This window comes from Homo sapiens, chromosome 10 (genome assembly GCF_000001405.40).
Source record: "Homo sapiens chromosome 10, GRCh38.p14 Primary Assembly".
Lineage (NCBI taxonomy): Eukaryota > Metazoa > Chordata > Mammalia > Primates > Hominidae > Homo > Homo sapiens.
Genome location: NC_000010.11, coordinates 102,636,918 through 102,658,372, shown reverse-complemented (window position 1 = coordinate 102,658,372; position 21,455 = coordinate 102,636,918). Strand labels below are relative to the sequence as shown.

The 21,455-nt window shown below is 53.7% G+C and overlaps 1 protein-coding gene and 2 long non-coding RNA genes across 7 annotated transcripts, besides 17 other annotated features; 2 read left to right on the top strand and 1 right to left on the bottom strand.

Annotated features, from left to right (window-relative positions):
- Positions 54-13,894, bottom strand: TRIM8 (tripartite motif containing 8). Of its 3 annotated transcripts, none has more exons than NR_144321.1 (6): positions 13,186-13,878; positions 3,625-3,720; positions 3,060-3,293; positions 2,236-2,267; positions 1,988-2,128; positions 54-1,626 (listed from the first exon to the last, which is right to left on the bottom strand). NR_144321.1 is itself a non-coding variant. In NM_030912.3 (6 exons), the coding sequence occupies exons 1-6, from the start codon at positions 13,753-13,755 to the stop codon at positions 1,019-1,021; spliced, it is 1,656 nt and encodes a 551-aa protein (NP_112174.2). In that variant the 5' UTR covers positions 13,756-13,894; the 3' UTR covers positions 55-1,018. The 3 variants fall into 3 exon arrangements, 2 of the variants coding, with proteins under 2 accessions (NP_001332879.1, NP_112174.2); NM_030912.3 differs by having other exon boundaries at positions 55-1,626; positions 1,988-2,103; positions 13,186-13,894; NM_001345950.1 differs by lacking the exon at positions 3,625-3,720 and having other exon boundaries at positions 1,988-2,103.
- Positions 3,242-8,217, top strand: LOC105378460 (uncharacterized). 3 transcript variants are annotated; one of them, XR_007062272.1, is made up of 3 exons: positions 3,242-3,326; positions 6,246-6,835; positions 7,244-8,217. It is a non-coding gene; the product is annotated as an uncharacterized LOC105378460 (long non-coding RNA). The 3 variants fall into 3 exon arrangements; XR_007062273.1 differs by having other exon boundaries at positions 6,773-6,835; positions 7,244-7,794; XR_007062274.1 differs by lacking the exon at positions 3,242-3,326 and having other exon boundaries at positions 6,717-6,835; positions 7,244-7,486; positions 7,752-8,217.
- Positions 5,210-5,259: an enhancer, noted in NCBI's record as "active region_3947". NCBI's record gives its function as "activates an Ori minimal core promoter by ATAC-STARR-seq in GM12878 lymphoblastoid cells {active_cell/tissue: GM12878}" and the evidence as "EXISTENCE:reporter gene assay evidence [ECO:0000049][PMID:35858748]".
- Positions 8,844-9,811: an enhancer, noted in NCBI's record as "H3K4me1 hESC enhancer chr10:104408319-104409286 (GRCh37/hg19 assembly coordinates)". NCBI's record gives its function as "activates a minimal SCP1, AML or CMV promoter by ChIP-STARR-seq in primed H9 embryonic stem cells {active_cell/tissue: H9 hESC(primed)}" and the evidence as "EXISTENCE:reporter gene assay evidence [ECO:0000049][PMID:30033119]".
- Positions 9,017-9,076: an enhancer, noted in NCBI's record as "active region_3946". NCBI's record gives its function as "activates an Ori minimal core promoter by ATAC-STARR-seq in GM12878 lymphoblastoid cells {active_cell/tissue: GM12878}" and the evidence as "EXISTENCE:reporter gene assay evidence [ECO:0000049][PMID:35858748]".
- Positions 9,177-9,226: an enhancer, noted in NCBI's record as "active region_3945". NCBI's record gives its function as "activates an Ori minimal core promoter by ATAC-STARR-seq in GM12878 lymphoblastoid cells {active_cell/tissue: GM12878}" and the evidence as "EXISTENCE:reporter gene assay evidence [ECO:0000049][PMID:35858748]".
- Positions 9,467-9,516: an enhancer, noted in NCBI's record as "active region_3944". NCBI's record gives its function as "activates an Ori minimal core promoter by ATAC-STARR-seq in GM12878 lymphoblastoid cells {active_cell/tissue: GM12878}" and the evidence as "EXISTENCE:reporter gene assay evidence [ECO:0000049][PMID:35858748]".
- Positions 9,527-9,586: an enhancer, noted in NCBI's record as "active region_3943". NCBI's record gives its function as "activates an Ori minimal core promoter by ATAC-STARR-seq in GM12878 lymphoblastoid cells {active_cell/tissue: GM12878}" and the evidence as "EXISTENCE:reporter gene assay evidence [ECO:0000049][PMID:35858748]".
- Positions 12,243-12,459: a silencer, noted in NCBI's record as "fragment chr10:104405671-104405887 (GRCh37/hg19 assembly coordinates)". NCBI's record gives its function as "represses an EF-1alpha promoter that drives an FKBP-Casp9 reporter gene in an ReSE screen in phorbol 12-myristate 13-acetate-treated (for megakaryocytic differentiation) K562 erythroleukemia cells {active_cell/tissue: K562(+PMA)}" and the evidence as "EXISTENCE:reporter gene assay evidence [ECO:0000049][PMID:32094911]".
- Positions 12,635-12,734: an enhancer, noted in NCBI's record as "active region_3942". NCBI's record gives its function as "activates an Ori minimal core promoter by ATAC-STARR-seq in GM12878 lymphoblastoid cells {active_cell/tissue: GM12878}" and the evidence as "EXISTENCE:reporter gene assay evidence [ECO:0000049][PMID:35858748]".
- Positions 13,515-13,644: an enhancer, noted in NCBI's record as "active region_3941". NCBI's record gives its function as "activates an Ori minimal core promoter by ATAC-STARR-seq in GM12878 lymphoblastoid cells {active_cell/tissue: GM12878}" and the evidence as "EXISTENCE:reporter gene assay evidence [ECO:0000049][PMID:35858748]".
- Positions 13,745-14,724: a silencer, noted in NCBI's record as "silent region_2768". NCBI's record gives its function as "represses an Ori minimal core promoter by ATAC-STARR-seq in GM12878 lymphoblastoid cells {active_cell/tissue: GM12878}" and the evidence as "EXISTENCE:reporter gene assay evidence [ECO:0000049][PMID:35858748]".
- Positions 13,745-15,256: a biological region, named in NCBI's record as "hESC enhancers GRCh37_chr10:104402874-104403628 and GRCh37_chr10:104403629-104404384".
- Positions 13,746-14,501: an enhancer, noted in NCBI's record as "H3K27ac-H3K4me1 hESC enhancer chr10:104403629-104404384 (GRCh37/hg19 assembly coordinates)". NCBI's record gives its function as "activates a minimal SCP1, AML or CMV promoter by ChIP-STARR-seq in primed H9 embryonic stem cells {active_cell/tissue: H9 hESC(primed)}" and the evidence as "EXISTENCE:reporter gene assay evidence [ECO:0000049][PMID:30033119]".
- Positions 14,502-15,256: an enhancer, noted in NCBI's record as "H3K27ac hESC enhancer chr10:104402874-104403628 (GRCh37/hg19 assembly coordinates)". NCBI's record gives its function as "activates a minimal SCP1, AML or CMV promoter by ChIP-STARR-seq in primed H9 embryonic stem cells {active_cell/tissue: H9 hESC(primed)}" and the evidence as "EXISTENCE:reporter gene assay evidence [ECO:0000049][PMID:30033119]".
- Positions 14,805-14,904: a silencer, noted in NCBI's record as "silent region_2767". NCBI's record gives its function as "represses an Ori minimal core promoter by ATAC-STARR-seq in GM12878 lymphoblastoid cells {active_cell/tissue: GM12878}" and the evidence as "EXISTENCE:reporter gene assay evidence [ECO:0000049][PMID:35858748]".
- Positions 15,175-15,234: a silencer, noted in NCBI's record as "silent region_2766". NCBI's record gives its function as "represses an Ori minimal core promoter by ATAC-STARR-seq in GM12878 lymphoblastoid cells {active_cell/tissue: GM12878}" and the evidence as "EXISTENCE:reporter gene assay evidence [ECO:0000049][PMID:35858748]".
- TRIM8-DT (TRIM8 divergent transcript) lies at positions 15,184-15,581 on the top strand. Its single transcript, NR_186489.1, has one exon. It is a non-coding gene; the product is annotated as a TRIM8 divergent transcript (long non-coding RNA).
- Positions 15,565-16,194: a silencer, noted in NCBI's record as "silent region_2765". NCBI's record gives its function as "represses an Ori minimal core promoter by ATAC-STARR-seq in GM12878 lymphoblastoid cells {active_cell/tissue: GM12878}" and the evidence as "EXISTENCE:reporter gene assay evidence [ECO:0000049][PMID:35858748]".
- Positions 16,627-16,921: a silencer, noted in NCBI's record as "tiled region #2079; HepG2 Repressive DNase matched - State 2:TssF". NCBI's record gives its function as "represses a minimal TATA promoter and a strong SV40 promoter by Sharpr-MPRA in HepG2 cells {active_cell/tissue: HepG2}" and the evidence as "EXISTENCE:reporter gene assay evidence [ECO:0000049][PMID:27701403]".

Sequence of the window (21,455 nt, the reverse complement as noted above, 5' to 3'; positions counted from 1 at the left end):
GACGCCTGAAGATCCCAGGCCTGGGGGGGATAGGGGAACAGGCGAGGCAGGGAGTGGGACTGCGCCATCATGTTTATTAGAAGGTTGGATTTTGGTGTGTGCTCTAGACAGATACAGAATAAATACCTGCGCCTTGAGAACAGGAAGTCCACGATTCATACAAAGTGCTCACTACAGGAAGTTGCTGTGTCAAAATCCAGGCAAGGACCCAACTCCGGGCAGCCCCTCCTCCCTGCTGACCTCAACAAGGGCTGTGCTATTGTTTTTTATTTTATTATTTTATTTCTCTTTATTATTATTAATATTATTATTATTTGCTTTTGCTGTGGTCACTATCATTGGCAAAGTTCCTTTTCCCCTTTCCTGGACATAGGGGTCCTGTCTTTAAAAGATTCCACTCTGAGGCTGAAGGTGCCAAAAGCTGCTTGAGAAGTGGCCTTTGAACTCCGTCTGGGAAGATGGTGAGGAGAAGGAAGCAGGAGAAATCATTCTTGGTTTAAAAAAATTTAAAAAAACAAAAACAAAAGTCGCACAATCTAAAGGTCATTCCTTACTCGATCAGTGATCAAACTGCCCAAAAGGAAAACAAGAGGAGAAACAAGCCCGGGGCCCTGGGCGTTCCTCCCGGGTGGGGTAAGAAGGGTGGGACCCCCAAGCTTTCAGGGAAGCCGAGGTTCCTTCCAGCCACGGGGGTGTGAAGGGGAAGGAGTAGAGGAAAAAAGGAGAAACAGAGAGAGAGCTCAGCGCCTCGACACAGACACTTTCCCATCTCCAGGGCCACCTGCCGTCCTGGCCCAGGCCAGCTCCCACTGTCACCTCTGCGTCCAGGAGATTCATAATAAAAAAAAATCAAAAACAAAGCCAAAACCAAAACAAAATCCAAAAGGAAAAGACCTGGGGCAATGGAATGAGGAAGAGGGGAGGCGAGGAAGGTAGAAGGGCAGGTCTCTGGATGCATAACTCCCGAGCCCGGGGGCTGGGGAGGAAGATTCCCCAGCGCCCCGCCGCCTGCGTGGCGTTAGCTCGTCACGTAGTGTTTGGTGGACGGCTGCCCATACACCCTGTAGAAATCCTGGTGGCCGGGCTGCTGGGAGGCGTCAAGCCAGTCTCTGACCGCCAGGCTGGGAAGGGACTGGGGGACGGAGGGTGTGGGCGGGAGCGGGTGTGAGTACTCCTGCGAGGGCACTGTCCAGGGAAAGTGGCCGGAGCGGGGGTAGGGCTGGTGGCCGCCATGGTTGGCCACGGAAGAACAGTAACAGTTGTCCACAGAACAGACGAGAATCTTGCGGCCGCCATACTGGGGGAGCATGGGCTGCTGGGCGGCGGAGCCATTGGGATACTGCGATGGGGGGAACACGGGGCTTGAGTGCACTGGTTGGGCGCCGCCCGGCAGGGCCACCAAGTGCTGCGTGGAGCTGCAGGGCCCCAGGGGCTGCCCAGACTGGCCCTCACCGCTGGCTGTGCCCGCCGCCCCGTACTGGCCGCCCACAGGGCCCGACGACGTCTCTAGGAAACTGGCCTCTGGGAAGGCCGTTGAGTGCTTGCGCTTTTCCGCCCCAGAGCTGCTCACGCCGCAAGGGTACAGGGGGACACTCTGCAGGAAGGGCACCGGCGTGCTGAAGGGGCCTGTGGAGAGTTGGGGCAAAAGTCGCCAAAGCTCCCACCCCAAGCAACCCAGGCCTCCTCTCCCTGGGTTGGACCTGGGGACCATTGACACCTAGAGGCCCAAGAATGTTACATCTCAGGTGATGCTTGCTCCTCTACCATTAGGAGGTACAGAATAGTTATATCCCCACTTTAAGCTGAAGAAATGGAGGCTGGGGAGGTCATGTTGCTTACCCACTGTCCCACAGCTACAAGTGGCAAAGCCTGGATATGAGGACAGGTCTCCCAGACTGGGCCACACTGCCTCTTGGAGGGAAGGCTGTGGCGCTGAACCCCTCCCCAAAGGTCCCTGTCTCCCTTCGGCGGAACACCCCACCCTCACCTTCTAGCATTTTCCGCAGCTGCTTCTCCTTCTTGGCCACTTCGTTCAGGAAGAGCTTGGAGTTCAGGTGGCCGATCTTAGTGGGGGAAAGGCTGCTGCTCGTGCAGGTCTGGGTCCTGGGGGCAGTGGACGGGGCATCTGCTGTGAGGAGGCATCACCGGTGAGCCCGCCCTACCTCCCCGCCATGGGCCTGGCCCCCCTGCCCTCCCCAGGATGTGCCCCCGGGAGGGCTAGGGCCCTCAGCTTACCTGTCCATCAGGATTTTCACAGACTTGGTGTTCTGTTGGGGAGAGAAAAGAGTCAAGTCAGTGGAAAAGGCAGTCCAGGGAGAGCCCGGGGAGAGGGGAAGACAAAAGCTGCCCCCCCTGAGCCTCCCCCAGGCTGGGTGGATCCTCTCATTCTGGACAGAAAGTGGCAGGGGTAGGGGTGGCCATTTGCGGAAGAAGAGCTAACATTTACTGAGCTCTTGCCACGTGACCCAGGCATTGTAAGTGCTTTCTGTGCATCCATAACTTCATCCATACCCGAGGAGAAGGGCTCTGCAGGCCCACACTGTTTTAGCTCAAGTCTTTGGGGCCAGATGTGTTTTGGAATTTGGAATTTTTTGGATTTTAGACGGAGAATACAGTGCCTGTATCATATATTACATTATCATCCCCAGCAAGACACAACAATCTAATACAGCAACATTTCTGCAGCAAAATGTTTGAATTTTCATACTAAGCAAGATAAAGACCATAAATTGCCTAACATCAGTTTAGGTCAATTTTTGCTGTTAAATTAGATGCCAAAATTTGTTTAGTTTCCAGAGATGTTTATAAATGTGGAATTGTGGATAAAGAATAGTAGACCTGTATCATCAACACCACTTCGTAGGTGAGGGAACAAGGCCCGGGATGTACCTATGACTTGCCCAAGGTCACAGTGCTAGAAAGAGCAGGCAGGTGGATTTGAACCCATGCATGCTGGCTCCAAAGGTAAGGGCATGTGAGCTACAGGTGCAGGAAACTGCAGATCTCAATTTGGAAATGGCCCTCTGGGTGCCACCAGCCTGGTCCTGAGCCCAGCCCACCTTCATGAAGCTGACATCCTCCGTCTTATCAAAGAGCAGCTGCAGGGAGCCCAGCAGCTTCTTGGCCTCCTGCATGCGCTCCCCGAGGTGCAGCGCCTGCGCTGCGTTCTCGCTGCAGAACTTGGCCTGGGCCTTGTCTAGGACCTCCACTGTCTGCCGCAGGTCCTCGTCCAGCAGCTGGTGCAGCTTCTCGTACTGCAGCCGAACTTCCTCCTTCAGTTGGTTCACTTTCTCCTGCGAGTACAGAGGGCAGGAGTGGGCAGGCAGGTAAGCACTGGAAACCTTTGGTTTCCCCCCCTCTTACCCTTCTCACATCCTAGAACCCTAAGTCACCAGGCTGCCCCAGGCTCCCAAGGGCAAGGTCTGACCTGCCAGTTCCCCACTGGTAGCACAGGGCTCTGGGCCAGCATCCCCTGGCACCAGTGGGCATCCACGGGCAGTTGATTGAATGACTGATGGAGTGGTTCTGGCATAGGGCTACACAATCAATCCTTAGTAAGGAACTCACCCAAAGCCCTGCGCTCAAGCCACCCCCACCCCGCAGCATGGCCTTGGGCTTAGCTACCTCCACCAGGCGCTTGTCTGACTCGAGTTTGTACAGCTGGTCCTCAATGTCCTGCTCTCGCTCCTCCAGCCGGTCCTGCTGCTTCATGAGCATCTTCTGCAGGGACATTTGGGTGGGAGTATCAGAGGGACTGTGGCTCCAACCCTGACCCATGCTTCCCTCTACACAACACATGCATCCTATGGATCCTTTGACCCGATGGCACCAAGCCTCTGCTACCCAGCCCCTTTGGCCCCCTCCAATCCCAGGGGCCTATTCCCAGCTCTCCCCAGAATAGCTTCCCATGCATATTTATTTATCTTATTATTTTTTTAGATGGATTCTCACTCTGTTGCCCAGGCTGGAGTGCAGTGGTGCGATCTCGGCTCACTGTAACCTCCGCCTCCCCGGTTCAAGTGATTCTCCTGTCTTAGCCTCCCGAGTAGCTGGGATTACAGGCGTGCGCCACAACGCCCAGCTAATTTTTTTGTAGTTTTAGTAGAGACGGGGTTTCACCATGTTGGCCAGGCTGGTCTCAAACTACTGACCTCAAATGATCTGCCCGCCTCGGCCTCCCAAAGTGCGGGGATTATGGGCGTGAGCCACCATGCCCAGCCCCCATGCATATTTAAACCCTGAGCTTTCTGAGGGCAGGGCTACACCAACCTCTGTTCTAAACACTTTTCCTGTACAGATTTATCTAATCATCCCAGTAATGTCATGAGATAAGTACTATCATTATTCTCATTTCACAGAAGAGGAAACTGAGGCCTAGAGAGGTTAAGTAATTTGTCCACAGTCACACAGCTTGTAAATAGCAGAGCTTGGGCACAAACACAGGTGATCTGGCAGCAGGGTCCGTTCTTACCCAGGCTGTGCTGCCTCTCCCTGGGGAGCATCCTCTAAGAGATGAGTACCCTAAGATGCAGGGGGTCAAATTCCCTTCCATAGCCACGTGAACCTCTGTCCCAGTCCAAAGATCTCACTTTACCCTCGCCTTACATTAGGGGGCATCAGGCCAGTCACCCCCTCCCTTGTTCTTAAGACTGAGAGCTAGGACTCTGGAGTCCTGGCTAGCTCCCTCAGCCCCCTCAGTGGGACCCAGGCAGAAAGGAGATTTGAGGTCTCCTAAGACCTGAGGCCAGGCTGCTGGAAGGTGCTGGACCAAAGTGCTCTTCTCAGCTCATAATCTCCTGTCCCCACAACCCCTTTCCTGCCAGTCACTCCATCTCTCCTGCCCTCCTCTCACCAGATATGCCTCTTTAGACAGGCTCTCTCCCCTGCTCAAAAACTCTCCGTGACTCCGTCCTATCAACTACTTTAGCATGGCAATGAAGGCTCTTTTACACCCTGACTCTTCCAGCCAGCTGGGCTGGTATCCTGTCCCCAGCCCTCCACACATGGAAACTCCCTGTAGCTCTAGGTACATTCTTCTGCAGCCCACAGTGCCTCCTCCCTCCCCTGTCTATTCTTCAAGGCCCAACTGAAGTCCCCACTCCTCTAGGAAACTTTCCATGACCCCTGCTCTGAGCCTGTGCAGGTCCCTCCCTGTCCTGGCTACGGGGTGGGGCTGTCCCATTCTGCCCTCCCTCTCAGGTTGTGCTGTCCAATATGGTAGCCACTAGTCATATGTGGCTATTTAAATCCAAGTTAACAAAAAATAAAAAATAAGGTCAGGTGCTGTGGCTCATGCCTGTAATCCCAGCACTTTGGGAGGCCGAGGCAGGCGGATCACCTGAGGTCGGGAGTTCGAGACCAGCCTAACATGGAGAAACCCCATCTCTCCTAAAAATACAAAATTAGCTGGGCAAGGTGGTGCATGCCTGTAATCGCAACTACTCAGGAGGCTGAGGCAGGAGAATCACTTGAACCCGGGAGACGAAGGCTGTAGCGAGCCAAGATCGCGCCATTGCACTCCAGCCTGGGCAACAAGAGCGAAAGTCTGTCTCAAAAAAAAAAAAAAAAGTTAAGTATCGGTTCCTCATGCACCAACCTCATTTCAAGTGCCCAGTACCTACGTATCACTAGTCTCAGATACTAAAGTTATAAAATGTTACCATCATGCAGAAGTTCTATTAGACAGCACTATTCTGGAGTCTTCTAATTGCCTCACAAACCATGGTCTCATCTCCCTACAAGACACAGGGCCTCTTAAGAATGGGGATTTGCTGCTGTCTTTCTCCACCTTCCTTCAGAGGCAGGCCACACAAAGGCCTGGGCGGCCTGAGATGCATAACAAATTCACTCAATAAGCCCATGGGTTCCATACACAAACTAAAATTTGCAAAGCAGCTCTGTGTAACCACAGACATTCACAGTAACTGTCATGCTGCAAGGAGTGGTTCTCTTTCTTCCTCTGTGGGGGCCTCAAAGTAACCCTCCAGTTCAACCCCATGACTCCCATCCCAGCCACTCCCAGCTGGCTCCCCGAAGACAAGCTGCCATCAATCCCTTCCTCACCCCGCCAGCCCATTTTACGTAGGGGCAAACCAAGGCCCACCACAGACTTCAGCCTGACCCTATTTTGTGTTGGAGGCTACTGTGGAAAAAACCAGAACCCTGGGAGCAGGAGGAAGTGTGGGGGTGAGGCTTTCACCTTATAAGCTGGGTGCAGGGGGCCCACACACAACTTAACCTTTCAGTGACCCAGGACAGGACCTCTAAAAGAATCAGGCCTGGGAGACCTTGCCCTGCCCCCAGAAGCACCAAGAGGCACAGGAATCTGCTGCCAGCCCAAGGGTCAGAGCCCGACAGCACACACAGCATGAGTGGGCAGGCGCAGGGGCACCTGGCACAAAGCTGCGCACGCACATGGGAATACCTTGCCACCTGAGCCCCGAGCCCGCCTCAGGTATGCTGGCGGGCACAGCCAGAGGTGCAAAGGCACTTGACCCAACCCCCTCACAGGGAAGGCTGGACCTCCTGGAGGCCCCAGACAATGGCAAGAGGCCTGGCACGATGGCGAGGTGGCCAGGACACTCTGGGAACATCAGGCCCACTGACCTCCCCTGGAACAATTGGCCCTCAAATTCTTGCCTGCTGGTTGCCCCAAGCCCACCCTCAGGAGGACAGGGCCCCCCAGGTGCTCTTCAGAGTCCAGGCTGATCCCTCCATCCAGTGCCCAGGACATCTGAAAGGCCCTGCTGGCCCCACACATCTCACACCACAGGCTTACTGCATGGCTGCTTCTCCACGACCAAACCCACCAGGAGCTGGTTCAGGGAGGATTCAGGTGAGTCCCAGGGGAGGGGTAGGAAAGAGGCAGCTCCAAGGTCCCAGCGCAGCTTCCTTGGGGACAGGAACTGAGCTGTCCACACCCACCCCGCAGGCTGGTGGGTGCCCCTTTGCCCCATCCCTTGCTGATGCCCAGGGAGTGACCCCTCAGGGCACAGCAGAGGGAGGGCCTTCCTGTCCAGTCCTGGGGGGGTGGGGCTCAGCCCCTTCCCTCTTCTTCCGGGCTTTCCTCAGCCTCCCCTGACAGCACTTCTACCCTGGGAGCCGGCAGGGTCTTCCCAAGCTTCTGTCTGTCCCAGGCAATCTGGGTGGGACACCAGCCCAGGCCACACAGTCCCTAGCAGGTGGGAGGGTTTCATTTCCCCCTCCTGCTGCTGAGGCCACTGGGCTCCTGTCTCTGCTGCAGGGGTTGGAGTGAGAGCAGGAAGAGGAAGGAGGCTGGCCAGGGGGTGCCAGCCAGGGAGGAGTCCGGGGGGCTGCACTGGTCTGGCCTGCTCTCCCTCAGGGCCAACTCCTGCTACAGACAGCGCCTGGGAGAACAGTGGGAGCTGCTGCCGCTTCAAGCCTGGGAAACTGGAAGGAAGATGGGAAATACCTGCCTGCCGTCCCCTTCACGACCCCACCCCAGTTCACCGAATGAGCAAATCAGGTTGCCAAGACACTGGAAAATGCTGGAAAACAGGGAGCAGAGGAAGCAAGGCCCAGACCCCCCACCACCAGCAGCCTCCTTTCCATCCCAACCCCCACCTGCCTCCCCAGGGAATGGCTAAGAGCCAAGGCCCCACTTCCCACCTGGGAAAAACCCATAGCTGAGATCCGACCAGATTTCCCAGCTCAGTTCAGAGCAAGTACTCTCTGCGCAGGCAGGTGGGCTGGAGGCACCTTACACATGCCACCGCCCCATCCCCCCACAGCAGTGCATGGCCTGGACTGCGTACACTGGAGCATGCAGGAGCAGAGCAGAGTGGAACGTGGCCTGGGCTAGAAGCTCTGGAGGCCCCAGGCCACCAGGGAGACTGGGACTAGGTGGGGCCCAGGGAGGACCTTCACACCCCCAGCCCTGCCTGTCGGGCCTCAGGCCTTTGGTGATCTGCCCGGGGCCTATGAGGACAAAAGCATGAAGAATCAGGAGCCGCCATTCCCACCCTCCACCACCTGGGCCCCCACTCCTCAGCTTTGCCGCTGCTTCCTCTGACTCCCCTCCCGGCCTGGAGCAGCGAACCCTGAGCCCCTACATTCCTGCCCCAGGAAAGCCTCATGTCCCTCTGGAGACTGACTGGCCAGGCCAGCTGCCATTTTTGATGCCAGACTAGACTGGGCAGACGGGTGAGGCTTGGGGACTCTGGGCTGTATAAAAGTTAATAAATAATAATAATAAAACCCTCAAGTCAACCTTGAAGAGAAACAAGGTCAGGAGGAAACAGGGCCCCAGGGACTGGGACAGAGGCAGTCCCTAGGTTTTCAGACAAGACCATGGCTAGCTCCAGAAGCCCCTGTGGTGGTGGGAGGGGCAAGAAGAGGGGGCTGGGCAGCCTCTTCCTGCTTAGGTCCCTGCCCGGCCAGCTCCAGTTCTGGCTCCAGCCCCCTTCTCAGAGCCACCCCATCCTAACCCTCCCCTACTCCTCCCCCTGGTCCCTGTCCCCATCTCTCCCTGGGTCTCTGCGCTCATAGCACTCTCCCCTTTCCTCAGAAAAGCTTCTGCCTGCCCTAAACCCCCTTTCCATGCCTCAAGCCACTGCCTTGGGCTATCATGTGAACTGAACCCCAGGCTGGGGAAACCACAAGCTGCAGAGGGAAGGGGCTCCAGGGCAGGCGCCAGGGCAAGGAGAGAGGCAGCACCTCAGATGCGAGCCCGGCAGACCCCAGAGAGGGCTTCCCAGCTGCAGAGTGGAATTAGCTTTTGCCATGCAGAGAGCAGCGCTCTGGGGCAGCAGAACAAAGAGGCGAGAGAGAAAGCCCCCCTTTGTCTGGCTTTGAATGCCAGGCCAGCCGGGAAAGGAAGGCTTTCCCAGAGCCAGGGAGGAGGCCAGCCAGGCCAGCCTGCTCGGCCCGGGGCAGGGGCCCAAGCCGGGCTTGCTCCGCCTCGCCAGACTGCACCCAACACAACAGCGCAGGACCCTTTCAGCTCCTGCCTCCAATACCCGCCACAGGCTCACCCCAAGGGGAAGCCCATCTTTCCCTCCTTTCCCCAACAACCCCACCACAGGGGGAAGTCCCAGGACCCCTGACAAACTCACAGCCACCAAGCAAGGATCACCTGAGCGGGCACTCACACAGCAGCACAGTAGTGCTGCCAACTGTCAGGAAGGCACACTCAACTTCAACTCGCAGGCGCTCAGCAAGCCCGGCAGGCAGACACGGCTGCGCAACTAGGGACTGAAGTCAGGCAGGCTGCGCCTTCTCAGAGACACCCATGTGAGATGCAAAAAGATCAGTCACATCCAAGATACACGACCCAGACGTGCTGGCTACACATGCACGCACACACACACACACACACACCTGCAGACAGACACAGATGTGCAGCCACCCAGGGCCGCAGAAGGCAGAGTAATAATAGTGTGTGCATGACAGGTGCCTGGCCATGTCAGCAGGATCCTGGGGTAGGGGTGGGCAGCTGGGCCTCTGCCTGAGGCTCCCTTTCACGGGCAACGGAGAAAGCCAAGCCAGGGCCTCCTTCCACGAAGACTCGGGGGTGGCCAAAGAAGGGGCCACATGACCGTCACACCACAAACACACGTGCGTGCACACAAACACACACACCCCTGCAGGAGTATGGTCTGCTGTAGGGAGAGGGAGCAGTGAGGTTTGCACTGCTGGAGTCAGGCTGCAGCCCCAGCCTCAGCACCAGCCCCAGTAGAGCCAGCCCTCACTCTCACTGCGTACTCAGAGACAGATAAATGGAGAGGAAACCCAGGATTCCCTCCAGGGTCTCAGGGTGACCCCTCCAGCCACCGGCAATGTGCACAGGATACCCTCACTCCAAGCAGGGGCAAACCCCACACTGGCCCAAGCAGTGGGATCTCCTCCCCCAGAGAACCTCTTCTTGACTCTGAACCTCTGAAAATGCAAGGAACAGGGCCCTAGCAACATGTCTGGCCTTGCTCTGGGACACCAGGGACGATGCAGAAACACAACCGTAACTGCACAAGACTCAAGCAGATACACCTGCATAGACACATACGCACCACATACCTGCAGGCCCCTCACACATGCAACCGGGCCTGCTCTTGGGTCTTCTTTCCATGTCATGGGGGGTCATGAGATAAGGATGCCCCCCAGCTCCCACCAGTCCTTCAATGCTTAGATGAACCCCTGAACCTGGGGGCTAGGAGGGGTCTGACCACTCAGGACTGCCAGGCCTGAGCCCACCTGGATGTCCAAATCTTGGGCCCTTAGCTTCCCCACAGCCTCATGGGAGAGCACATTTAGGATCTAGGCACATCCTAGACAATGGTCTCGGGATCATCCAGTGAGTATCCAGGCCTCGGCAATGTGGCCGACACACTGGCTTCCCAAGGGAAGATTAGGGCAACAACCTGCTTGGGCCTGATTCTGAGAGTCCCCCTTGTAGTTCCCCAGGATGGATGGAGGACCTGTTTGCTCTCCTGCTGGGTCCCTGCTCTAGGCTATGGCCCATGTGCACCTGTGGATGCTGTAAGTATATGAGGGTGAGGCCACCAGGGAGGGGTTAATCAGAGTTTCCTATTTCTAGCCAGTTGACAGGCATGTCAGCAATCCCCCTGGGAGGGCAGAAGAGGACGCACAAGAAGCAGAGCCTAGATTTTAAGGCAGGTGCCAGGTCTCTGTGCTTCTGCCCCTGTATCCTGGGGAATTCTGTGGCCCTCGCCCACAACACCAGCAAAGGCCCTTTAAGGCAGACTCCCTCCGGGAAGAGAAAAGGGGCCAAGGAAGAGCGCTCCACCCACTCCCCCTGTTTGGCCTACAGAGAGTGCAGAGGGTTCTTCCATTTAGGTTCCTATGGTTCACCCCCTCCTCTCCCTCCTGGGAGGGCAGGCAGGGCCCCTATTCCTCCACATTCAATAAGTCAAACTCATACTTGAGTGACACTGGGCTACTGAAGGGTTTCCAACCCCAGTGGCCTGGGGCACCAGAAAGAATCAGGGGCCTGGGGAGGGGGAACCTGGAGAAGGATGAGGCTCAGGCTGCCACTGCAGGGCACAGCTGCTGAACGCACAGAATTGCACATCTGGCCCTGATGCAACCCACTACTTCTGAGCCTGCCCACACCAGGCACAAGAAAGCACGCGCATGCACGCGCACGCACACACACGCACACACGCACACACACACCCTGCGGAGTTGCCGACAAAGTTCAGTGCCTGCTTCCATCCAATCCACGAGTCTGGAAATGAGGGGCCTGCTGGGGGGCACCCCAGGGAATACTCTGCATGCACATGCCACCCACCCACCCCTGCCTGTGCCCTGAACTGTAGAGACAGGAGACAGGTGCATTGGAGGGCGAAGCACACAGTCTCAAAGACATTCAAAAACACAGACACCTAAAGCTATCCTCCTACACCAAGTCAGGTATAATGACGTTTTCTCCCCCACCCCAATTAAAGACATCCCTAGAACTCAGACCAGCTACAGCAGCACTGTGGGTGCGGGCAGGCATCCGCCCATCGCCCAGGTTGCTGCCCCTCCCCTGTTCCTTTCAGCCACATCTCCTTTCCCCTCCTCTCATTTTCCACTGCCAATCCCAGGACAGAACTGGACAGCCCTCCTTTCTCCTGCCTCTGCACTTTTCCCGGCCTCCTCCCCCAGCCCTTCCATCTTTATTAATAGCAGCAGCTTCCCAATACTGGGGAAAGTGTGGGCTGTGCCTGCCCTGAACGGGGATGGAGGACACAGGGGGTGGAGGACACACTTCCTTTAAGAAACCAGAGGCCTATCCTGGCACACAAACCCAGGGCTAGTCCATCCGATTGGAAACTAATTATACAGCAAATCGTATTTGCTGCCCCCGCCCCAGCCTGTGGTGGCCCTCCTGCCTTTTGTTGGTTGTATGTGTATGTTTTTTAATTGCTAAACAGTGACTCATTCTGACTGGTCCCCCCACACAGGAAACAGCCCCATCTCCAATCATGCCCTGAACAGAGCTTCCTCATAGCCAGCCTCCGCACTGGCCTCCACTAACCTCCAGGGATCCCCACCCAGAGACACTCCCAGTCCCACCAGAGTGCAGCCTAGCCCCCAGATATCACACCCAGGCCCCAGGCCCCAAGGTGGGGCTTCAGAGAGGACTCCTCGGTGTCAGGCCAACCCCTTCATTTTGGTATGACTCAACCCTGAAAGCCAGAGGACTGGGGAGGGACCTAGGAGGAGCCCCCTCCACTGAAGGGGACGGAAGTATTGCCTCAGTCCAGCTCCAAAACCAGGCCCAGAGGCCTGAGGGGGGAGGCGGTTTGACATTGGCCGCGGCCGCAGGGTGTATACAATGGGAGGGGACGCGGTTCCGTAATCACCCAGCCGGCAGCCCAGGGGAGCCAGCTGCCTGAAACCAGATTTCAAGGCGGCTCAACCTTAAACCCACAGGATTCTTTTTCCGTCTTCCACTTCCCCTCCCCAAATGTGGGAGGGCGGCGAGAGGGCTGTGCTAGGCGAAAGGGCCAGGATGATGAAGACAGATACTTGAAGGCTTGTTCATGCGGCCCGTGCGACACACAGGCACACAGGGCAGCGATTCTCACACAGGGAGAGCCGGCTCTCGGGAGGAATCCAAATAGCGGAGCCGCTGTCGGGGCCTCGCTGGCTGCCCAGGCCCTGTCCAGAGAGACGGCCGGAGTTCTGCTCTCCCTCTGGAAACTCCCCCCACTCCCCCCCCAGTGTGTTTCCAATAGCGCTGAAAACTAACATGGCTGCTTTTGTTTACTTCCTCATTGGTATGCCAGCATCATGGATCATGTCAGCCACAGCAGCGGCACCGGGACACTCATTACATAAACAGCAGCTGGAGAGGCAGGACCGGGGTCACTGCCTCGGTGACTTCCCGTAGGGCCTACAGCAACAAGACTGGGGGAGGGAGCTGCGCACCACAGAAAAGCAACACCCAGACTCTACCCCTGACGGTCCCACACCCCAATCCCATAAAGCACTCAGAAGACGGACCCTGTGCGCACAGGTGCGAGAATGTACCAAGTAGCGACCCGGGGCCCTTCTTCCCAGGACCCTGTCCCCAAACTTTCAGAGAAGAGTTTGGCCAGGGGCCACTGGCCTGATGTCACAAGAGTCAGCCTGTCGGGATGGGTGGTCCCGGGGCGGGAGAGAGGAAGGGACTGTGTGTCTGTGTGTGTGTGTGTGCGCGCGCGCGCGTAGGGTACTTGCCCGGATTTCATTCCTTCGGATCTCCACGTCGCACACCGAGTGTCCCTGATGCGCGCCGCTGTAGTAGCAGCAGTACTGGCACACGGCCACCTGCTCGGCCTCGCAGTGGTAGAGGCGGTAGGCGTTGTGCTGCGGGCAGCTCCAGGCCCGCACGTCGTCCGCCTCCACCAGGAGGTGCCCGCGGGCGGTGGAGGGCTGCTGCAGGTGCGTCTGCACGTGGGACTGGCAGCAGGGCGCCTCGCAGCGCAGGCAGACCTTCTGCGCGGGCAGCGGGGGGCCGCGGCGGCAGAACACGCAGTGCAGCGCCGCCGGCGGCTTCTCCACGTGCAGGGCATTGAACTTCTCCACGATGTTGGTGAGCTTCAGGTTCTTCTCCAGGCCCGGCTTCTGGTTGTAGGCCTGGTTGCACTCTGGGCAGCGTACGAGGCCGCTGTCCTTGGCCCACGCCTCGCCGATGCAGCCCCGGCAGAAGTTGTGTTTGCACGGCAGCTGCACTGGCTCCACGAAAACGTGCAGGCAGATAGGGCAGATGAGCTCCTCCTCGAAGCAGTTCTTCCAATTCTCCGCCATGGCGGCCGCGGGCAGGGGGCCGGGGCAGGCCTCCCCGACTCCCCAGCCCCGGGGGTCCGTCCGGAGCCGCTGTAGGCCCACCGAGCCCCGAGCTCCGGCCCCAGCCGGCCCCGACGGTCGCTCAGTCAGCAGCGCCTTCCGCGTGCCCGCCCCCCGGAGGAGGGAGCCGCGGTCCTCACGCCGCGCGCGCAGCGGGCTGCGTCTCCTCCTCCTCCCGAGCGCCTAGCGGGAGGCGGCGGACTGCGCCAGGGCCGCGGCCGGGACTCCAGCCTTGGAGGGGAGCGCCGGGGTCCAAATTCCATATAAGAGGCCGCCTCCCCGTCGGCGCGGCTAGGGCAGTGGCGGCCCGCGGCCTGCGCTCGTCCCCGCGGCTGACATTGGGGCGCGCCCCGCGGCAGACGGAGCTTGGGAGCAGCACACTTCTTCCGGCGGCGGCGGCAGCGGCGGCTCCTGCCTGGCTCGTCGGCGCCGCACCTCCCTCGCAGGGGCCGGAGCCCGGGGTCTGCGGGGCCAGGAGGCGAGGGCGGCCGCGCCGAGGGCTGCTAGATCCGGACGGGGCGGGAGGGGCAGGCCGGCGGTCCCCGGGCCACGGTGCAGGCGTCCCCCGGCTGGCTGGCCGGGCGCGGGCTGCGGGGCGCGGGCGGGCCGACTCCGGGGCGCTGCGTGCGCGCAGGGGCAGTCATTCAGATGAAATTCCAGTCCCCGGCCAGAGACACCAGCCCGCCTCTGCCTTCCTCCTCCCTTCACAAATAGAAACGGAAGGGGGAGGGAGAGAAGTGGAAAAAAAGGCAACCGGCGAGGGAGGGAGGGAGAAGCCCCGGCGGCGCTCCGGCCTGACCCCCGGGCGGCTACTTCTGCGCTCCCCCGAGGCCCGGCGCCCCCGCCGCGGAGAGACCCCGCGCGCCCGTCTCCGCGCTGGGCGGGCGCCCGGGCTCTGCCGAGGAAAACAAGGATTGATCAAACTAGAAAGGAATTTTTCTCAACTGCTAATGAACAGGAGGCTCGGCTCCCGGCCCTCCCCTCCCCTCCCCCGGCCCTCCCCCTTCGCCCCCCCGGCCCCCTCCTCCCCACTTTCTTTTCTTCTCGGCCTCTGCTGGGGCCTGGAAGGCTCGGGGCTGCGGTCGGAGCCAGCCTGCGGCGGCGGGGCCAGGCCGAGCCGCCACCCTCAGCGCCCAGCCATCTTGGGCTCCGCGGCGGCGGCCGGGGTCTGGGCGCGCTCGCTGAGGGCCCCGCGGCGTCCTCTCGCTCCTGATTCTTTTTTTTTTTTTTTTGGTGGGATTTTTTTTTTTCCAAGGGGAGGGCTGGCGGCCTCCAACAAATTAGGAGAGAGAGAGGGAGAAAATGCCAAGTCCCGATTTCTCTCCACCTCTGCTCCACCCACCCCGGTCCTGTCCAAAAAATAAAAGAAGATGAGAATTGGAAGAAGTCGGCAGAAAGGCGAGAGCCCGCGGTCCCCGGCTGCTGCCCAGGCGACGCGTCCGGGGCGGGCCCGCACCCGTTGCTCGGTCCGAGGTCCGTCTGTCTGCCCGCGGCTTCTCAAGGGAGGGGAGGGCGCTTCGGGCAGGGTCTCCGCAGCCGCTGTCGCCTCAGAGCTTTATCCTCAGATCAAAAAAGAAAAAACAGGAAGAAAAAAATCCCAACCCCAACACTCTCATCACAGCCACCTTCAGCCATCTTGCGCGTATTATTATTTCAGGAATAATCTGTTTAATAAAAATACCTGCGTATCCAGCCCCTCCCCCGCGTCCTGGGGTCCCCGCCCCCTTTTAATAATAATCTCGATAATAAAAACGATCGGCGGGCCGGGCAGTCCGTGGCGGCCCTTTCCTGCCTCGACTTGCTCGGGCCCGGCTCTCCCCCCGCGAAGGGGCGCCCCGGGGTGGGGGTGCGTCCCCGTCACCCGCGCGGGGAGGAAAGGGCGCCCTCGCCGCCGCCGCGAGGAAGGCGGCGGCGGAGATGCCGCGGCCCGCGGGACCAGCCGGAGGGGCACTCGGGGGTCCCGGGGCCCCCGCCACGGCCCGGCCTGGGAGTCCGCAGCCGGCCGTATACAATGGGTTCGGAGCAGAGCGGGGCAGGCAGGGTGGGGAAACGGGAGGGCCAGGGGCTGCAGCGAGCCGAGCTCCCGGGCTGGGGCGGAAGGAGACGGGGGGTGGTGTCCCTACATCAAGGCCGGTCCCGCTACTCGGGAAGGGGGCGGAGAGCTGCGGCGCTGGGGGGCGAGGAGAAAGCGGCAGGCGGCGCCTTTAATCGGCACCCGCCGGTTCGGCCCACCCGGCACTGGCGAAAGAAACGGGCGCGGTGGGGGGGAAGGGGCGGGGCGTGCTTTCCGGAAGTACAGTTACAGGGCCGGGCGCCCGGCTCCTCCCCCTTTCCCTGTCGCGTTGGGGCTGTTCCGGAGGCTGCTCCTGCTATTGGCCCACAAGCTGAGGCTCCACCTCCCTAAGGCGGGGCAGACCCGAGAGTCTCACGTGACTCTCACAAACTTCGGTACATTAAACATTGGGATGGGAGGGGGTTTTCCGCGCTTGTTAAAAAAGCGATGATGCCACGGCGTAGTGGGACCACCTCTTCCTGGGCCTGAAGTGAAGACCCGTGGCTCTTTTTACCCAGAGGGAAAGGAGCGTTTGTCGGTCTGCTCAGCAGTCCGGTGGAACTGAGCAGGGAAATGCAAAGGTTCAGTGTGGGGAGATTTCCCGATGTCCTTAATACTTTTAACTTCATCCCTGGCACTTTAAACTACCTAGCAAGATAGGCATTTATTCCTCTATTAATAAGGAAACCATGGCTTAAAGAACTGCAGAAATCTGCCAAGGTCAATGGTCAGTCAATAAATCTTTAACAAAATATTTTTCTAGGCCCTGAGAATTCCCAGAAAAACGTACAAAAAATTTAACGTAAATACACGGAGGACAATTTACGTGATAGAGAATAACAGGCTCACACAAAGGCTTTCTGAAAAAGTGACATTTGAGCTGGGACCTGAATGCACACAAAGAGTCAGATAGGTGAAACCTGGGGGAGGAGCGATCCAGTCGGAAGAAAAAACAAATGCAAAAGCAATAGAACAGGCAGGTTCCAGGACAGAAAGAAGGCCATGTGTCCAGGAAGAAAGGTAGGGGCCAGAACACACAGGGCCTTCCTTATATATCTATTATATATTATATAATAGTACGCTTATTATAAGTGTGCTATATAAGTATAGTATAAGATACTATATATTATAAGTACACTATAAAAGTATAGTATACTATTATATATAGTACATATTATATCTAGTATAGGATATACAGTATATGGTGATAAGTATATAGTATAAATATACTATATGTATTATATGTATTTATAGTGTATATTATATATGCTATAATATACCATGTTATATATACCATACCATATATTATATATACTATAATATACCATATATATACTATACCATATATTATATACTATAATATACCATATATACTATACCATATATATACTATAATATACCATATATTATATATACTATAATTATTGTTTTTTGAGACAAGTTTCACTCTTGTTGCTCGGGCTGGAGTGCAATGGCGTGATCTCGGCTCACTCCAACCTCCGCCTCCAGGGTTCAAGTGATTCTCCTGCCTCAGCCTCCTGAGTAGCTGGGGTTACAGGCATGCACCACCACGCTTGGCTAATTTTGTATTTTTAGTAGAGACAAGGTTTCACTATATTGGTAAGCCTGGTCTCAAACTCCTGACCTCAGGTAATCCAGCTGCGTTGGCCTCCCAAAGTGCTAGGATTACAGGCGTCAGCCTCCATGCCAGGCTATACTATAATATTTATACTCTATATTTTTCCCTTCTATCCTCCAAAAATGTTTTAAAAATGATTCCTAGGATTTGGATCTCAACAAAAGGCTGATGGTAGCACCATTTACTAAAAAGGGGAAAATTGAACAGGATTAGATTATTTGAGTAAGGGTATTTTCTTTTCTTCTCTATTTTCTCTTTTCTTTTCTTTTCTTTTCTTTTTTTTTGAGACAGGGTTTCACCCTGTTGCCCTGGCTTGAGTGCAGTGGCGCAATCATGGCTCACTGCAGCCTCAACTTCCCAGGCTCAGGTGATCCTACCTCCTCAGCCACCTGAGTAGCTAGGACTACAAGCTCACAAAACAGCCCAGCTAAATTTTTGTATTTTTTTGTAGAGTGAGGGTTTCACCATGTTGCCCAGGCTGGTGAGTAAAGGGATTTTCTAAGTTGAGTTGGCTCATATCCCAATGGAAATATTGAGGAGACAATTGTATATACAGGCCCAGTGGGGATGTTTGTCCTGGAGATAGGGATTTTGGAGTCATCAAAGATTATGTTCTAAATGGTAGAACTGAGATTGAAATCTAGTTCAGTATGACCCCTGGGTCCCTGATCCTCTGATGACAGAGCCTGTCTTTAGTGTTTTGTATCTCTTCACATGGGGGGTTATATGCAGGGCAAGTGAATATGTGAATAAATGAATGAATGAACAAACAAGGAGAAAGTGGCTTCTAAGCCCTAATCCTCAATTCCATGCTGTAAGGATGGTGCAAAGAAAGAAGGTCTAGCTTGGAAGCAGTTGGAGGGCCCTTTCTGACCTCCTCACCAGTGACCTCCAGGATAAACAATCTAAACAATTCCTCACTTCTTGTCTTTTTTGAACACTCCCCTTAACTTGTAAGATATCATATGCTTGTCGTTTTCTTCTTATCTTCTAATCATAGATGTCTCCAATTTCCATCTCATAAATGTTGGCAGTCTTCAGAGTTCTGCTTTCCATCCTCTTCTCTTACCAATCTACACCCTGGGGCTATCTCATTTACTCCTGAGCTTTATTACCATCTACATGCTGATGACTCCCCAGTCAGTATCTCCAGGCTAAATCCTCACCTCCTGGTTGCAGATCTGTGTAACTGGCTATGCTGTCTGCACAGATGTCCCACAGGCACGTTGAATTCAATGTATTGGAAGCCAAACTCATTATCTTCACATTCCAGCCTGTTCTTCCTCCTGCATTCCCCATCTCTATTGGTGGACCTATCAACAACTTGTTTTTTGTTTTTTGTTTTTTTTTTGAGACAGTCTTGCTCTGTCACTCAGGCTGGAGTGCTAGTGGCGCGCTGCAACCTCTGCCTCCCAAGTTAAAGCGATTCTCCTGCCTCAGCCTCCCAAATATCTGGGAATACAAGTGCGCGCCACCATGCCTGGCTAATTTTTGTATTTTTGGTAGAGACAGGATTTTGCCCATGTTAGCCAGGCTAATCTCAAACTCCTCACCTCAGGTGATCTGCCTTCCTCGGCCTCCCAAAGTGCTGGGATTACAGACGTGAGCCACCGCGCCTGGACTTCAAAAATGTATTACCAAGCTGAGGATGAAGAAGACAACCTTGACAGCTGTCTGTCCCTTACTGCCCTCCCTGACCCCTTATCCATTCAATCAGGTATCCGGTCCTATAGGTCCTTCTCTTAAATCTCTCCGATCATCCACTTGTATATCTATTGCTCACATGACATCCTCATGTGGTTAGAACAAACATCTCAAACTCAGCATGTCCAAAAGGATACTAATCTCTGCTCCCTCTTAAACCTGTTCTTGTTGCCGTATTCTGCTTTTTGGTGAACCAACCCTTCAGCAGATCTTTTTTTTTTTTTTTTGAGACAGGGTCTCTGTAGTGCCCAGGCTGGAGTGCAGTGGTGCGATCATGGCTCACTGCAATGTCTGCTTCCTGGCCTGAAGTGATTTCCTGCCTCAGCCTCCAGAGTGGCTGGGACAACAGGTGTATGCCACCACACCCAGCCAATTTTTGTACTTTTTGTGGAGATGGAGTCTTGCTATGTTGCCCAGGCTGGTCTTGAACTACCGAGCTCAAGTGATCCACCTGCCTTGGCCTCCCAAAGTGCTGGGATTACAGGTGTGAGCCACTGTGTCCAGCCAGCAAATCTTGACTACTTCTTAACCTCTCCATTACTTCACCATAATCTCTTGCCTAGATTATTTCAGTGTATCCTAACTGGTTTCCATGCTTCTGCCCTTAACTCCTGGAGTCAATTCTCAATGTAGTAGCCAGGGTAATCTTTTTTGTGGCACGAACTTGGCTCATTGTAACCTCTGTCTCCTGGGTTCAAGTGATTCTCCTGCCTCAGCCTCCCAAGTAGCTGGGATTACAGGTGTGCACCACCACACCCAGCTGATTTTTGTATCTTTAGTAGAGACTGGGTTTTGCCATGTTGGCCAAGCTGTTTTCGAACTCCTGGCCTCAAGTGATCTGCCCACCTTGGACTCAGAGTGCTGGGATTACAGGTGTGAGCCAGCACACCAGGCCCCGGCCAGTTTTTTAAAGACATAAGTCAGAATGGCTGGGCATGGTGGCTCATGCCTATAATCCCAGCACTTTGGGATAATATATTATATATAATATATTATATATTTTATATGATCATATATAATATATTATATATTTATATGATCATATATAATATATTATATATTTATATGATCATATATAATATATTATATATTTTATATGATCATATATAATATATTATATATTTTTATATGATCATGTATAATATATATTTTATATGATCATGTATATTATATATTTTATATGATCATGTATATTATATTATATATTTTATATGATCATGTATATTATATATTTTATATGATCATGTATAATATATTATATATTTTATATGATCATGTATAATATATTATATATTTTATATGATCATGTATAATACATATTTTATATGATCATGTATATTATATATTTTATATGATCATGTATAATATATTATATATTTTATATGATCATGTATATTATATATTTTATATGATCATGTATATTATATATTTTATATGATCATGTATATTATATATTTTATATGATCATGTATATTATATATTTTATATGATCATGTATAATATATATAATTATATTTTATAATCATCATATATTATATATAATTATATTTTATAATCATATATTATATATAATTATATTTTATAATCATATATTATATATGATTATATTTTATAATCGTATATAATATATAGTTATATAATATATAATATATAGTTATATAATATATAATTATATATTATATATAATATATAGTTATATAATATATAATATATATATTATATATAATATATAGTTATATAATATATAATATATATATTATATATAATATATAGTTATATAATATATAATTATATATTATATATAATATATAGTTATATAATATATAATATATATATTATATATAATATATAGTTATATAATATATAATATATATATTATATATAATATATAGTTATATAATATATAATATATATATTATATATATATATATCAGAAAATGTCACTCCTCTGCTCAGAATCTTCCAATGCCTTCTCAATTCAACCAGAATAAAGGTGAAAGTTTTAGAATTCCCTCCGAGGTCCTGCACAGTCTGGCCTCTGCATAATTTTCTAGCCTTCTCTTCTCCCACTCTGCTGCACCTACACTGGCTTCCTTGGTGCTTCTCAAAGACACCCGGTGTGTTTATTCTTGACTCCCTCATCCTTTGCAGGTGCTCTTCAGTTTCCCTGGCCCATCTTCCCCCAGATAGCCCTATGGCACACTTCTTCCAGTAATTGAGATCCTTATCCTTTGTTCAAATGTCACCTATGCTGTGATGCCGTCC